Source organism: Homo sapiens, chromosome 4 (assembly GCF_000001405.40).
Source record: "Homo sapiens chromosome 4, GRCh38.p14 Primary Assembly".
Classification (NCBI taxonomy): Eukaryota; Metazoa; Chordata; class Mammalia; order Primates; family Hominidae; genus Homo; species Homo sapiens.
The window spans coordinates 158,521,667-158,536,739 of NC_000004.12; the positions used below are offsets into that span (position 1 = coordinate 158,521,667).

Consider the following 15,073-nt stretch of genomic DNA (forward strand, 5'->3'; position numbering starts at 1 on the left):
ACTTTTTATTGCTTTTCAGCTTTGTGTGTGTGTGTGCACGCGCACGCGTGCGTGTGTGTAAAGAAGGAGATTAGGACATTTAGAGAAGGAGGGCGGGGAGGAGAGATCCTGAGAATAGAAAGGAGGAAAGAAAAAAAGAGGAATGGAAAGAGACAGAGAAAGGAAATGGGAGTGGAAGGAGGGAGGACTGCTTTGTAACTGCTAAGATTGCAGACAGAAATAGCACACAACCACTGTGAGCTGTATGCGATTCAGAAACCAAGACCAAATTTTGCTCACTTTCATTAATCAGTTGCTCAGATAGAAGGAAATGACATCTGGTTCTGTCTTCTTCTACATCTTAATTTTTGGAAAATATTGTAAGTATGCTCAGTATCTAATTTTGTATACCTTAGTATTTTGTGGAATAACCACAAGCACAAATGTTTACTCCTTATATTTATGCTTTTAAGATAAAATGCACTTGCTGATAAAATTGTAATCTCACTTCAGAATTGTTCTTCTTAGTATATGTCTGGTATTTGTATTAAAGACCATAATATCTTATCATAGTCAATAGTGAAGCGAGACTGATGTGCCGTGTAAACCTAGGCTTCATAATAACCAATTCATATAATTGATATTTTAAGCAACATTATAATATTTAAAGAGTAGTAATTCTTAAACTGTATTCAAGGAATATATTCATTGAAAACTCCTAGGAAAGTTCTCACATTTGTGCCAGTTTCTGTATAGTTGTAATGCTCTGTCGCCCTTATTCTTTGTCATTTGCTATCATAGGTGTGCTTCTGGGCAGGGAGATGCATTCATAAAACTCTTTTTATTTAGCAAGGTTTATCACTGTTCCTTGAAAGAAAAACAAGGGAAAGCACAAAGCAATGAAAAACATAGGCACAAAAGAAGCTCCAAATGGGCATGTTATTTTTACTATAATGACAAATTTTGTTTTCTCTGTGTGTGCTATGGTTTATTTTTCAGAAAATCTTTTTTAAATTCAAGGGAAACAGTTGTTGTGTGTTAAGCTCCATTTGAATTATAGTATGTAGACAGAAATAAAGTGTTTTTGTTTCTTAGGTAATAAATGATGAAAAAGTCAAAGCCAAACCAAGAACAAAACTTTCTGGGTATCTTTAATACTTTATGATTCCGGGAATGTGGGCTTTTACTAATTTAGAAATTAACAAGCCTTTTTATAGTCCTGTGTCTCTTAAAAGTTTGCATAAGTTTTGTTAACTCTGAGCTCTTCTATTAAGGAATGTCTCAGGGTAACTTTCAATCCTGACTCTCCCAATTGTAATATGTCAAAGTGATTATATCTTCCTTTTCCTCCTTCTTTCCTCCTTCCCTCTGCTCCATCGCATCTAAAGTTAAAGGACAGCATCAAAACCACAGAAACTATTCAGAATCCTGGGGAAATATTCTAGTCCTAGCCTTCTCCATCTCTAATCTTGATTACTGACAGTCCTATTTTTTAACTGAAGGGAAAACAATAAATTGCAAACCACCATAAAAAATGTAATGTTTCTAATTATAATTGCATGTTTAAACTACCAGAGCTTTTGACATTTGTGGCCAACAGCTTCAAAAATTAATGCCATATTTTACCATCCCTATTCCATTTCAATGAAATGAATAGATTAAATAAGCCAGAGGAATATTTCCAAAATAGTCTTTCTAGTATGAAGAATTTAAGGGTATATAAAAGGTGTTTAGGGCAGGTTGGGAAGCAACTTTGGCCACTGTGTTACCAGTCATTTCAGGTTAGGAAAAAAATTCCATGTTTACCTGTACCCTTTTGTTAATAAATTATTTTCATGAGCAGAAAATAATAATGATGGTGGTGATGATGATGCCAAAACCCTCTGTCTCTTTAAATTTAACTTCTCTTTTGATTCAAAAGAAAATTTGGGAGTGTAGTGTAAGTTGAGAGCTCCAAGTTCTCATCCTTCCACGCCTTCCCCAGGAAATGAGGGCATAAACATTTGCAGCAAAGTTTGGCAAGGCAATTCCTCGCTACATGGTATTAACTGCATGTTAGGGTGGGGGAACACTTGTCAGGGACGCCCTGAAATAGCACCCACAGCCGTGGCTCACCTTGAGTTTAGCCCCTCACCCAGGCCCCACCTAAGTGAGAATTTCCTGGGCACATAGCAATGGAAATCAACAGCCACACATAAGGACAAATTCTTAAACCTCTGTAAATGCCCCATGGTTGTTGTTTCTTTGTGTGTTTTCTTTGTTTTGTTTTGTTTTTATATCCACTTTCCTGTAACGGGAAAGGCGATGTGATATCATGGAAGACACCTAACCTAAGACGCTTAGCTGCACTACCATGTACCGGTTCTGTGGTTTTCAGCAAATGATTTACCTCTTCTGAGCATGTGAAATGGCAATCAAATCCTTTACCCTGTCTACCTTTCAGAAACCCTGTGTTCCATTCTTTATTACAAAAATTACTTCCTGAATCTTCACAACAACTCTATTATGTGGATACAATTAAGCACACGAGGTAGGACATTCAGTGCCTTGTCACAAGACTCCAGCTAATAAATGCCAAGATTGGAATGCTTTCAGAGCCCGTGCTCTCTCCCCTAGACCATGATAATTCTCAGTAGCCATAATGTGTATAAATGGGCTTTGAAAACTATAAAGCCCGTTACAGACGTAAGCAACTATTAGTCATCCTTTCAACCAAAAATACCTATGCATGCCAGAGCAGTGACCATGCTTTATTCACCTACCTTGTTAAAGTAAGCATGGTCCCTGCTCTAAAGGGATAGGATGGAGAAGACGGCACGTTGATCTAGAATTCAATTCAATAAGACAAGTGCAAAAATTGAGGTCCACACAAACAGAGGTGACATTAAGACTTAGAAAAGATTTCCTTTTAGCCTTGAGAATTTTTCATTCTTTAAAAATCCTTCTGTCCATAGTCTAATTAATTGTATTGTGCCAATGTTAATTTTTTAGTTTTGTAATGTACTAAATTTATGTAAGATTAAGGAAAGCTGGGTGAAAGGTGTATGGGACCTCTCTATACTATTTTTTCAACTTCTTGTAAGTATATATTTCAAAATCCGTGGTTAAAAAACAATCCCCAGGACAACTTGTATTATAAGTTCTTATCAGAAAATGCTGTATTATTTCTTAAATGATATCACTAAGCAAAACAATTCTTTTAATGTTTTAGATAGGCAGGAAACAAGTGAAGATATAGGAAATAGAAGGAGTTCAAACATAAGCTTGATCCACTTTAGTATTTTGCCAAGGACCGGCCCAGCTTAGTAAGGTCTTCTCTTTCAGACTCCTAGAGACACTTACCAGGCTACCTGGCCTTTGCTTTGGATCCCAGCACTGGCATAACTTGTAACAGATTTTTTCTGTAACTATGAAGAAGAGAAAAGGAAGAGACAATTCCAGAACAGACCATTAGCTTGGTTAGTACGTGGAAAAAGAGAATGTTCGCATATTTATCCAATTCCAAAAGATGGGAGAATAAACATACCAATATGCAGACCACAGAGGTATACTGTGTCCCACCTTATACTTTGGCGGGGGGGGGTTGGGTTTTTTTTTTAATTTGTATAAATTTATGGGGCATGAGTGCAATTTGGTACATGCCTAGATTGCATCGTGGTCAAGTCAGGACTTTTAGGGTAACATGCGTGGTACCAATTAAATAACTTCTCACCACCTTATATTGTGGAGGCTGCTGACAATTTTGTGTTGTTTTTACTACATATTTTGAATCATATTTTTAAGTTTCAAATGGAAGGAAAATTAATGAATCTGTGCAAATGCACCCTGATCTACATAAAGGGAAATTATTATGTTTATGAACTAAATAGTCTTTCAAGTACAATTTCACACATTAGTACAAACTTGTTAAACTAAAATGCCTGGAGTTGAGTATTCTAGTTAGGTTTAACTTTCTGTCTGAAAAACTGTAAGCATTTAGACCATTTGATTTCAATCCTTATATTTATGGGTGTAGTTGTTTTTCTATTTCCCATTTATTGAGAGGTCTCCATGGATGAGGAACAATGTAAGTGCTTTACAAACATGATCTTATTTTATTCCTATAATAACCCTATGAGATATTCTTGCTTTACAAAATAGGAAACAGAGAATGAGAAATATTTGGTAGCATTCCTGGCACCACTTCTTAGTAATGTTACAAAGGAGATTTGAATCCAAGTCTATCTCCTTAAAAAGCCTATGCTATTAAACATGATTCAATTCTAACACTTTCTTAAATTATAATATAGAATTTAAAGTGACCTTAACAGACCCCTGACCTAGCTCACTGGCCTTCAAGCAAGTTAGATCTTTCTCTATTTTAGATATTAATCCATAAAGAAATATTAGCCAGCCCAAGGTCTCAGAGCTGGTAAATCCAGGGCTTCCACCACCTACGGTGAGGGCCTCCCCATCCAAGGCAAGTTTAACAAATCCATGCTAGGCGTTTATATATCTCCTCTAATGAGCTGGTGCTATCTGCTTTGTATACATTCCTCAGTGTACACCAACAACTGATGAATTAGTATATGTAAATAATTTGAATATATAGAAAGCACTTTTGTTTGCAGCACATGAAACTTAGCTATACATACAGCAAGTGCCAATAAATATTGACTTAATTCCTACATTAGTTTACCTCTCCCTCCTCCTGGATATTTTATTAGCCCCACAACCCCAACAGCTCTATTTCCTGCCTATGTGTAGTGATCCCATACTCTTTCATCTTTTTAAATTCTACAGCTTCATCTATTTCTGTGATCAGAGCAACAAGGACCCAACACTAAACCAAAAGCTCTTTCCTTCTTTGGAGATAAGCAGGGGCAAGTTGTGAATATTTCAAATTTAGGTTTTGTTCTCTATCACAACAAAAATAAATGTCAAATGGAAAAAGGACAGTGTAAAGTGAGATATCATGTTGTTCATGTTAGAACTTGGTATTTTCCTACTAAATAACTGTATTTTATAGCAACCTGGATATTATTAGATTTGTTGTTAAATAGATTCATTTTATAATTATTTCAATACTACCTAAATTAACTGGGTCTCCTTATTTCTTCAATATTTTATGATAATGAATATGCCTTTTGGAAATCAATGTTTTCAAAAAATTTCTGAGAGTTAATCTTTGGGAACGGTACTCTTGGGACTTTTCACCAGCTGGTCTAGGCCACCTGGAGCCCTTGCCTCTGGCCATTGTGCCAGCAACTCTCTCCACCTCTCTCTCCCCATCATTCTTCCTCAACTCCTCCTCCCATGTTGCTCCAGGAACTCAAGTTCTCATTGAGTTCCTATGCAGATGGACACAGCTCTGTCTCCTTAGCTCCTGTTTCCAAATGCAGTCCTAGGTCTACATTTAGACAGGGTGCTCAGTTGAACCAAAATGTTACCCACATGATTAGCTACAAATGAAACAGCAGATAATCTGATACATTCTTTAATAGTAAGATTCACACTTAAAAAAACAAAAAGCTGTTGAGATTTTAAATAATTTTTTTGTTAGAGGATTGAGTATCCACTTGAACTAAGAGGCCATATAATTATATGAGTTATTCCATTGATTAAAACATATAGTTGGCCAGGCATGGTGGCTCACGCCTGTAATCCCAGCACTTTGGGAGGCCGAGGCAGGAGGATCATTTGAGGTCAGGAGTTCAAGACCAGCCTGGCCAACATGGCGAAACCCCGTCTCTACTAAAAATACAGAAGTTAGCCGGGCGTGGTGGTGGGCGTCTGTAATCCCAGCTACTCAGGTGGCTGAGGCTGGAGAATCGCTTGAACCCAGGAGGCAAAGGTTGCAATCAGCCAAGATCATGCCACTGCACTCCAGACTAGGTGACAAGAGTGAGACTCCATCTCCCCCGCTCCAAAAAAAAAAAAATATATATATATATGTATATATATACTGTTGCCTCCTACTAATCTTTTCCCTTGGTTCTCATCTAATTCATTTAAGGAAAAATGAAGTTTCTTTTTCCACTTCCCACAGTCTGATCCTCAAGTAAATTGCTATTACTTAGACAGTTTCTACTTAATGTTGCTCAAGTACTATTTTTAATTTCAGTTTCATAAAATCAGACTTTTTTGAGTTGGAAGGCAAGGTAAAGCTATAAAGGACAACATCCTCATTTTTCACATAGAAAGAAACTAAGGCCATATAGCTGTGTTCCCTTTAGTTTTCAGCTGTCTTATTCTTAACTCACTTTTAAAAGTGGGTCTCCAAATTTCATATGTAGGACAAAAAGGGCAAGAAATATCAAAAGGGTAAAATATCACTTGAAAATAGAAAGAACCTAGACAGAAATTGTTAAAATAAATTTATTATCTACCAAAATCCTAGCATCAATGATTAAGACTTTGCCAATACACTAAGCTAGTATAATCCCTCTTCACATACCTACCTTGTGGAAAAACATTTAAATCATTCTCACAACCAAGGAGAGAAAGGTTCTCATTGCACCTGTACATCACCATGTTTGCAGCCAGGCCCAGAGGAATTTTAATGAAAGGGACTTTAAAAATGCTTAGAGTAAGGCGGGGGGCAGTGTCTCATGCCTATAATCCCAGCACTTTGGGAAACCAAGGCAGGTGGATTGCTTGAGCCTAGGAGTTCAAGACCAGCCTGGGGGGGCAACATGGCGCGACCCCCCATCTCTACAAAAAATACAAAATTTAGCCAGTCGTGGTGGCAAGTATCTGTAGTTCCAGCTACTCGGGAAGCTGAGGTGGGAGGATCGCTTGAGCCTGGGAGGCAGAGATTGCAGTGAGCCAAGATGGTGCACTGCACTCCAGCCTAGGCAACAGAGCAAGACCCTGTGTCAGAAAAAGAAAAAAAAAGCTCAGAGTAAGTCAACACCAAGTGGATGTCTTCACTATTAATATCTCCTCTCCAGTCCATGCTCCTATCCTATTCCCCAGACAATAGAGTCATCTCTAAAGATGCAGCCCTTTTCATCACATGCCATGCAAATCATGAATCTGGCCCTTGGGGTCACCCCTCTAAGGTGAGAGAGGCTTCATGTGCCACAGGTTGAAAAATGAGACAGCATTGCTACAGCAGAAGAAACTTTGCCAACTTCTCAGGAGTAATTTATAGACTATCAGAATCTCTCAGACACTTCTAGTGTCCAGAGAAATCCTCTCTTTTTTCTGGGTGCCCCAGATAATGTAGGCACCAAATACCTGTGTGCTTCACCGCTCCTATAACCTCTTCTTTCCCACCAAAAAAGAATGCCATCTGTTCTGTCTTTCTGCCTATGCAGGTGCCAGAGAGGGCGGACAGTGGAGGCCCTGGTCGTAGGGAGTCGAATATCCCTAACCTTACTGTTTTCTTCCCTCTCCCCACCCCAGCACACACAGTTTCCTGAGATAGAGTAACATGTTTCAATCCTCACCTTTGTGGGGATTGAAAGGACACTCACAGAGCAACACAGAGCATCCTCACTGTTATGTTAAACGACCCCAAGATATTCATTCCTGATATGGTAAAACATAAATCCCACACTGGTCATAAACTCTGCTATCATGAAAGTCTGATCTCTTTTTTTGCTTGCTTGTTTTTTGTTGTTGTTGTTGTTGTTGTTGTTGTTTATGAGACAGGGTTTTGCTCTGTGGCCCAGGCTGGAGTGCAGTGGTGTGATCACAGCTCACTGCAGCCTCAACCTCCTGGACTCAAGTGATCCTCCCACCTCAGCCTCCTGAGTAGCTGGTACCACAGGTGCATGCCACCACGCCCGGCTAATTTTTGTATTTTTTGTAGAGATGGGAGTTTCACCATGTTGCCCAGACTGGTCTCGAACTCCTGGGCTCAAGCCATCCGCCCACCTCAGCCTCTCAAATCTCTGGGATTACAGGTGTGAGCCACTGCTCCCAAACTCCTTCAAGTTTTGATCCTGCTACATGCTTGGGTTTGTCCTCCTTTGCTTCTTTCCCAGATTGTCTATTTAGTGCCAAATGGACTCCCTGCAGCTTTCCCTTTCCTGGCTAAGCAACCTAGATACTGGCTTCCAGTTCTAATTAAGCAGTTCCTCTTTCTCCCTTAGCGCTTAATTTCTCCTTCCTATCTTAATGATTCTCTGTATTCCTTAGTCTCACCACACCTTCTGACAAAATACCCACAAAGAGAAACTCTCCTGTCTTGGTCCCAAATCTTGCAACCCTAATTCTGATTTCTACTCATTTCATTTCCCTAATAAATACTTCCTCCTCATTAATTAGGACTTTCATAGAGAACAGCTGCCTGTTAAACATACTACTTGCAGATTACACCCCTCCCTCATTTTGCAGTTACCTGGGTTCATGGACATTTTTGGCCGATTTTTTTCAGTGTTGTGTAAATTAGTTCCAACACCTGATCCTCATAATACAAGCAAGTTATGACCCTGCAGTTTCCTGTAGTTGCAGCCATTTAAACAGATAAATTTTACTTTACAGAGTTTAAATTAAAACATTATAAAATAGAACATGCAAATAGATAGGAAATGACAAATTTTGAACAAAATTTATATGCGTGTGTGCCTGGACCTAGTGAAAGAAATCAGATAAGCTGCCCTAGGAAGCTTTTTTGGAAGCTTTTATCCAGGCACATATTGCAAGTGTAAGTTAATGAAAATAACTCTTCTCAGGTGCATCACGCATTGGCTTCTGAGATACAGCACAATCCACTCTACCATTACCTTCACTCATAAAACCTCAGATTCTTTTTATCCTCTTCTCTCACCCTCTGTTGCTCACCCTAGCCTTTTGATATTTTAATGGTTTTTTCCCAGAGCAGGCTAGAAATGTTTGATTCATTTTCAATGGTCCAGAAGATTTGCCGTTTTTACTTTCTCAGTTGTGGCTGATTTGCTGGAAATTGCAGAACTGCCTCATGGTTTATAAATGTTTCTACTTTCTCACACATTTCAAACTTAGACAGAGTGACATCATCAGTCATGCTTTCTGTTAGCTTCTTAACCTCCATTTAACCTCCCTTTTTTGTGTTAAGATCAAGAGAGGTGGCCAGTTTAGCAAAGTCAAATTTAGATTTTTATTTCTGCCCTTCTAATTGCAGTCGTTACCCCTGATCCTGTGAACTTGCAGCACAACAGTTTAAGTTCCCTGGAAAGGAAAGAGGGATTGTTTTTCTTTGTTGATATTTTCTCAACCACTGAGCATTCGTCTTCAGTGGTGATCCAAAATAATGTGGCAAGTCATTTGTCTATCAAATCCATTTTAATGGAAAAAATCTGTACAAAGCTTTTTGTAGCGCATCTGGCTCTTGGGCACCTTTTTTCAAAGTTTCTATGCTAGTAAACGTTAGCAGGTTCAATTTGAAAGCTCCACGCCCTCTTCTGTTCTTCAATCCCCTAGAGGCTTTGAGTCTTTTTTGAGACAGGGTCTTGCTCTCCTGGCCCAGGCTTGAGTGCAGTGATGCAATCTTGGCTCACTGCAAACTCTGCCCCCTGGCTCAAGCAATCCTCCCAACTAAGCCTCGCGAGTTGCTGGGACTCCAAGTGCATGCCACCATGCCTACCTATTTAAAAAAAAATTTATAGAGAGGAGAACACACTACATTGCCCAGGCTGGTCCTAAACGCCTGGGCTCAAGCCATCTGCCTACCTCAGCCTCCTGAAGTACTGGGATTGAGCCACTGCACCTGGTCTGCCTTTGACTCTTCACTGTTTCTCTCTCTTTGATCCAAGGCCCTTGGCCTCACTCTCTGCCCCTCTGTTTCCTCCAATCACTCAGCCCCTCACTCCTGATCCTCTCCTGACACACATATTCCCCTACTGCACAGGGTCATCTTGAACACAAAATTTACTTCTATTCTAATTTTTTCAGGAGAATCCACCCTTCGGTTTTTGTCCTTTTTTTCCTCAGAAAGCACAGGGTTGTGGAGGGCTTCAGGGAATGTTGACAAAGGTAATGCCAGCATTCTCTGACATGAAGTTTGAGGGTGGAAGGAAATGTTATAAACTACTACTACACACACACACTTTAAATCTTATGCCATCATTAACATTAAGCATACCAAATCCAGGTACGATATATAGTGTAAACATTTTCATGTTTACAGACCAGAAACCTCATATGTGTAAAAATTATATTTTATATTTCTATGACTAAAATTCAGAGCTCATGACTCCTACATAAAATAATACAACATTTAAATTTGCTAATTCAAAGTAGCTTGGTTTTAAAATGAGGCACTTTTTCTTTAAAATGCAATCTGGGTTTTCTGTTGGTTTGGGTATTTTGTTTGTTTGTTTGTTTGTTTGTTTGTTTTACATTTAGGGGGTATATGTGCAGGTTTGTTACATGGGTATATCGTGTGATGCTGAGGCTTAGGCTTCTAATGATCCCGTCACCCAAGTAATGAACATACTGCCTGATAGGCAGTTTTTCAGAATTTTCCCCCCCTCCTCCCCTTTTGGAATCCCCAGTGTCTCTTGTCCCCATCCTTTTGTGCGTGTTTACCCATGCACCCAGTGTTCAGCTCCCACTTATAAGTGAGAACATGTAGCGTTTGTTTTTCTGTCTCTGAGTGAATTTACTTAGGATAATCGCCTCCAGCTGCATCCCTGTTGCTGCAAAGGACAGGATTTCATTTTTTTATGGCTGGGTAGTATTCCATGGTACCATATTTTCTTTATCTTATCTACCATTGGTGGGCATCTAGATGGATTCCATGTCTTTGCTATTGTGAATAGTGCTGTGATAAACATATATATGAGTGGAGGTGTCTTTTTGGTAGAACTGTGTATAAAATACAATCTCAATCACTTAAGAAATCTTACCTGCGCTACCCTTTTCCCCTTCTCCCCTTCTGACCAACAGCATGTGATTTCGGTGACAGTTTTGCAAACATCAAAATTGAGGAGGCAGGTAGAGAGGTGAACATCTCCAGTCACTTTGCCAGCTACTCATGAGGGTTAACTCACTCTGGCACGGATGAGTGACACCAGCACCCACCAAAGCATTCAACCACTTTTCCACATTGTCCTCCAGCTAATCCACACACTTCTCACCAAAGACCACCACCACCGTCTGCTCATAGCCTTCTCAGGAGAGCACAGGAAGCCCTCAAGTGTCCTTCCTCACCTATTGGGAACTCAGGCAGATTCGGGGCTGACAAAGGCCCTGTGTCTAGCTCACCCATTCACCATCGCCTCCCTCACTTCAAGACCCTGCTTCTCCTAGAGATGTGCCCTTTCTTTGAGCTGGACATTAGGATTTGAGACAAGAATCACTTCTGCTTAGGCAGTCCCCCAAATTCTCTTAGCAGTTTCCACCTTCTCCCTTCCCCTACAGAGTTTTAATACCAAAGGGACAGGGTGCTTCCTTCTCACATTTCACTCTCAGCAGGTTCAGGAAAACTGCTTCGAGGGCATCACACATGCTTAACCCTTAACTCTCTAGAGGTTGTGGAAAGACTGGATGTTCTGTGTCCTTCGTTACTGGATCTTAATGTTCAAGACCAATATGGTAGAATCTAACAAGTAAATAAAAAGAAAGAAAAAATATTATCTCTCTCAAGCACCTGTCTTTTGCCATTGAAAGCCATGACTCTAAAGCTTTGGAATTTAAAGCCAAGAAGGTGAGGACTCAGGAAAGTTTTTTTGTGCTCTACCTTCCCTGAGCAATAAAGTACAGTCTAAATTTCTAGTTTTAGTGGTGGAAGAGTAAAAAAGGAATAACCATGAAGGAAGCATAAATGGACATTACCCTAAAATCAGTAATTATAAACACAAAGCCACAGTAATTAGAAATAATCATTATAACGAAATACCTTAGTAAGAGATGCACTTTTTATTTGCAAATCATATCATATCAAATTTTTAGCTATTTCCCAACACTGTATAATAGACACAAGTGAATATGCATATTTACCCTTACTCTCAAGAAACTTCTATAGGAGAATTGGAATTTTCAAAACTTGCCTAATGATAGATAGGGTTAGTCTATCTTCATTTGGTCGTTTATTTTTTAAGTCACACACAAAAAGTGTGCTTATCCTATTTGGATTCTAACTCAAATATCTTGGCTCAAAATTCTGTACTCTTTCTGATACCAATTTTCCCTACTTTTCTATTTTTCTATTCTGTTGCCCACAATGGTTCCTCATATTTCACTTACACCTGCCTTTCATGTAACTTTTATTTTTAATCTCTTTTCCCTACACTTTTCTATATGCTTTTTTTCCTATTGCTTTAATCAACACTAATCACAATATTATAGATGAAAACATCAATGTATAAAAATATTATTCAAAGCGTGAAAAATCCCAAATCATTAGGCATATTTATTAAATTTCTCCCACAAATTCTTTCTGATGCAATGTCTAAAACAATAGAATGTGTAATAAATAATTGGAAGGAGTAAGGAATAGTCTCACATGACAATCTTACCCCCTAGAAACTACTCGATCACGTTCTTCTCTAATTAGTCTCCCAGGGACCTACACCACTTTTAAATTTATTCTGGGGAAATTGTGGCAGATTTTTAATGTATATTATAATGTGCTTTATTCCATGTACTTAGATACACAAAGTGTTCTAGATCAATGTTATGATATTCTGATTTTTTTTTTTTTTTTTTTGAGACAGAGTTTCGCTCTTGTTGCCCAGGCTGGAGTGCAATGGTGCAATCTCTGCTCATTGCAACCTCCACCTCCTGGGTTCAAATGATTCTGCTGCCTCAGCCTCCCGAGTAACTGGGATTACAGGCATGCACCACCACACCCAGCTAATTTTGTATTTTTATTAGAGACAGGGTTTCTCCATGTTGGTCAGGTTGGTCTCGAACTCCTGACCTCAGGTGATCCGCCCGCCTCGGCCTCCCAAAGTGCTGGGATTACAGGCATGAGCCACCGCGCCCGGCCTTATTCTGATTATTAATAGGAATTATTTACATTGCTAAAGTTATAGGTAAGAGTCATTAAATTGTTGATGTTTTGGTTAAATGATAAGCACTCATAAATGTTGTCTGATTATATCCTCACATGAACCCTGAAAGGTAATGTTTTCTCACCTTTCCAGAATGAAGAGAGAAATTTAGAAATTTGTCAATGTCACGGGCACATCAATGCTTAGTCCAGAACTCGAACTCAAGCTTATCTGATTCCCAAGCCTGAGTTTTTTCACTCACATACAAACACCAAAATCATGTCCTCTCTCATTTTTATTATTATTATTATATATTATTACCTATATTATTACCTATAATAAGTAATTTTTATTACATATAATAAAATAATTTATATTGTTATATTAATATATTACATAAAAATATTACTATTATAGATAATATAAAATTATTTATAATTATATAATATTTTATCATTTATTATATCTCATTTTATAAAACGAGAATTCCTATTCCCATTAACAGGTGAACAAGCTAGCCAAGCAAGTTGAACTGGTTGCAGATTTACCCTGTTTTATTTCCCAGGGAGAGGAGAGAAGGGCACTGCAAGGACAGGTACAGCATGCGCAAGGTCATGGAGACAGGAAAGGACATGGCAGGCTCAGAACATGATGAGAAGTCTGGGGTAGTTTAAGAGGAGGGCTGAAGCAGATGCTTGGAGATGAAGTTAGAGAGGATCACCAGAACCAGATCATGAAGGTCTTTGTAAGCCATGTGCCAGAGTTAGGATGGTAATATATTAGTAATTCAAATCGAGGTTTTGTACAAAATGGAAGTAACCCAGGCAAATTACCAAAAATGGACTAAAATGTGAGAAACTGAAAGCAATCCTTAGAGAGGGCGTGGCCATTGCACTTGAGTCACTGGAAAGATACAGGCTATGATCAAGTCGAATCAGCTACTGGTTTTCACAAGGAAGTAACTCAGGCAAATTACCAAAAATGGACTAAAATGTGAGAAACTGAAAGCAATCCTTAGAGAGGGCATGGCCATTGCACTTGAGTCACTGGAAAGATACAGGCTATGACCAAGTCAAATTAGAGACTGGTTTTCACATTGTTTTCCTGGGACCTTAATACATTTTTAAAATATTTTCTCCCTATTCCTATCTATAAAATACACAAAATATGTGTGGAACACACTACAGAATGTTTGTTGAATACCCTGACTGTGATAGGACCGGCCTTTTTGATATTGCACTCCATAAATATCCAACTATTATCTCTATTTCTCATTCTTAAGAGTTTGATCTAGTCTGCGTTGTGTTTTCCACACTTCCTATTTCCCTTGTGTTATTTTCCAACTCACTATTTTCTTTAACTCTGGAAAGCCCTCTGATCCAGTTTACAAATAAGGCAATAAATAAAACATAACAGAAAACATTAACAAAGTCTCATACTATAATGGACAATAGATGGACAAAGTGCTTATACACGGTTATTTGAATCAAATGGAATGAACCCATTATCTGGAAGTACATACAATCTGTACTCTTTAATCAATCAGTAACTTTGCAACACAAAGGTTGTTACTCAGAAAGTATCAATCAACAGATTTAAGAGATTTTATTCAGCAACTATAACCTCACAGCAGTAGAAAACAGCACATAGACAAATAATTTAAAATATTGTGTTTATAGGACCGAGGCCTAATACCTGTAAGAATATAATTTTACTCTCTCTATTTTAATATATTTACATTTTAATCAATAGTACTACCCATGATATGTTTAATGCATGGGTGTAAATTCATTACTTTTTCTCATTTGTATTTTCCTTTATAAATGACACCTTAAGAGTATGATGAAACAGTGCTGAAAGTTTAAGGTGTATTATGGGAAATGCGTCAATCAGAGATAACTTCAATATCCTTAGCAGACTTTTAATTTCCCTAAGAATTGCAGAACCATAGTCATGCTATCTAGAGAAATAGCTTGCTCAGAACATCTTTAAAATAAGAATACATTCAATCATTCTTGCAGGTAATTATTAACCCAAGTATTGAACTGTAAGAGATACCTGACTTAAAATAGGCTCTTTTTGCAAATACTGTATACAGTATGAGCAAATCATTGCTAATGCCTTCTAACATGACTAGAAATATTATAAATACAGGTCATGGAAAATTATAGTTTTAATACACATATGAA

General features: G+C 38.3%; 1 protein-coding gene and 1 long non-coding RNA gene across 24 annotated transcripts in view, besides 1 other annotated feature; one reads left to right on the forward strand and one right to left on the reverse strand.

The window, feature by feature from the left end:
- RXFP1-AS1 (RXFP1 antisense RNA 1) overlaps positions 1-15,073 on the reverse strand; it is a 75,659-nt gene that overhangs the window by 32,656 nt on the left and 27,930 nt on the right. The window lies entirely within an intron of this gene.
- The window catches only part of RXFP1 (relaxin family peptide receptor 1), a 131,659-nt gene continuing 116,633 nt past the window's right edge, over positions 48-15,073 (forward strand). For 13 of the 23 annotated variants that reach the window (NR_045579.2, NR_045580.2, NR_045582.2 and 10 more), the window contains exon 1: positions 216-359. Coding sequence is in view for 13 of the 23 variants with exons in the window: in NM_001253727.2 (NP_001240656.1) it covers positions 311-359 (49 nt within the window). In the remaining 10 variants the exon portion in view is untranslated. Of the gene's footprint in view, positions 360-15,073 lie in introns of all 23 variants that reach the window. The other 10 variants (NM_001363776.1, XM_011532179.3, XM_011532174.2 and 7 more) reach the window with 1 other exon arrangement.
- Positions 13,647-13,866: an enhancer, noted in NCBI's record as "active region_22084". NCBI's record gives its function as "activates an Ori minimal core promoter by ATAC-STARR-seq in GM12878 lymphoblastoid cells {active_cell/tissue: GM12878}" and the evidence as "EXISTENCE:reporter gene assay evidence [ECO:0000049][PMID:35858748]".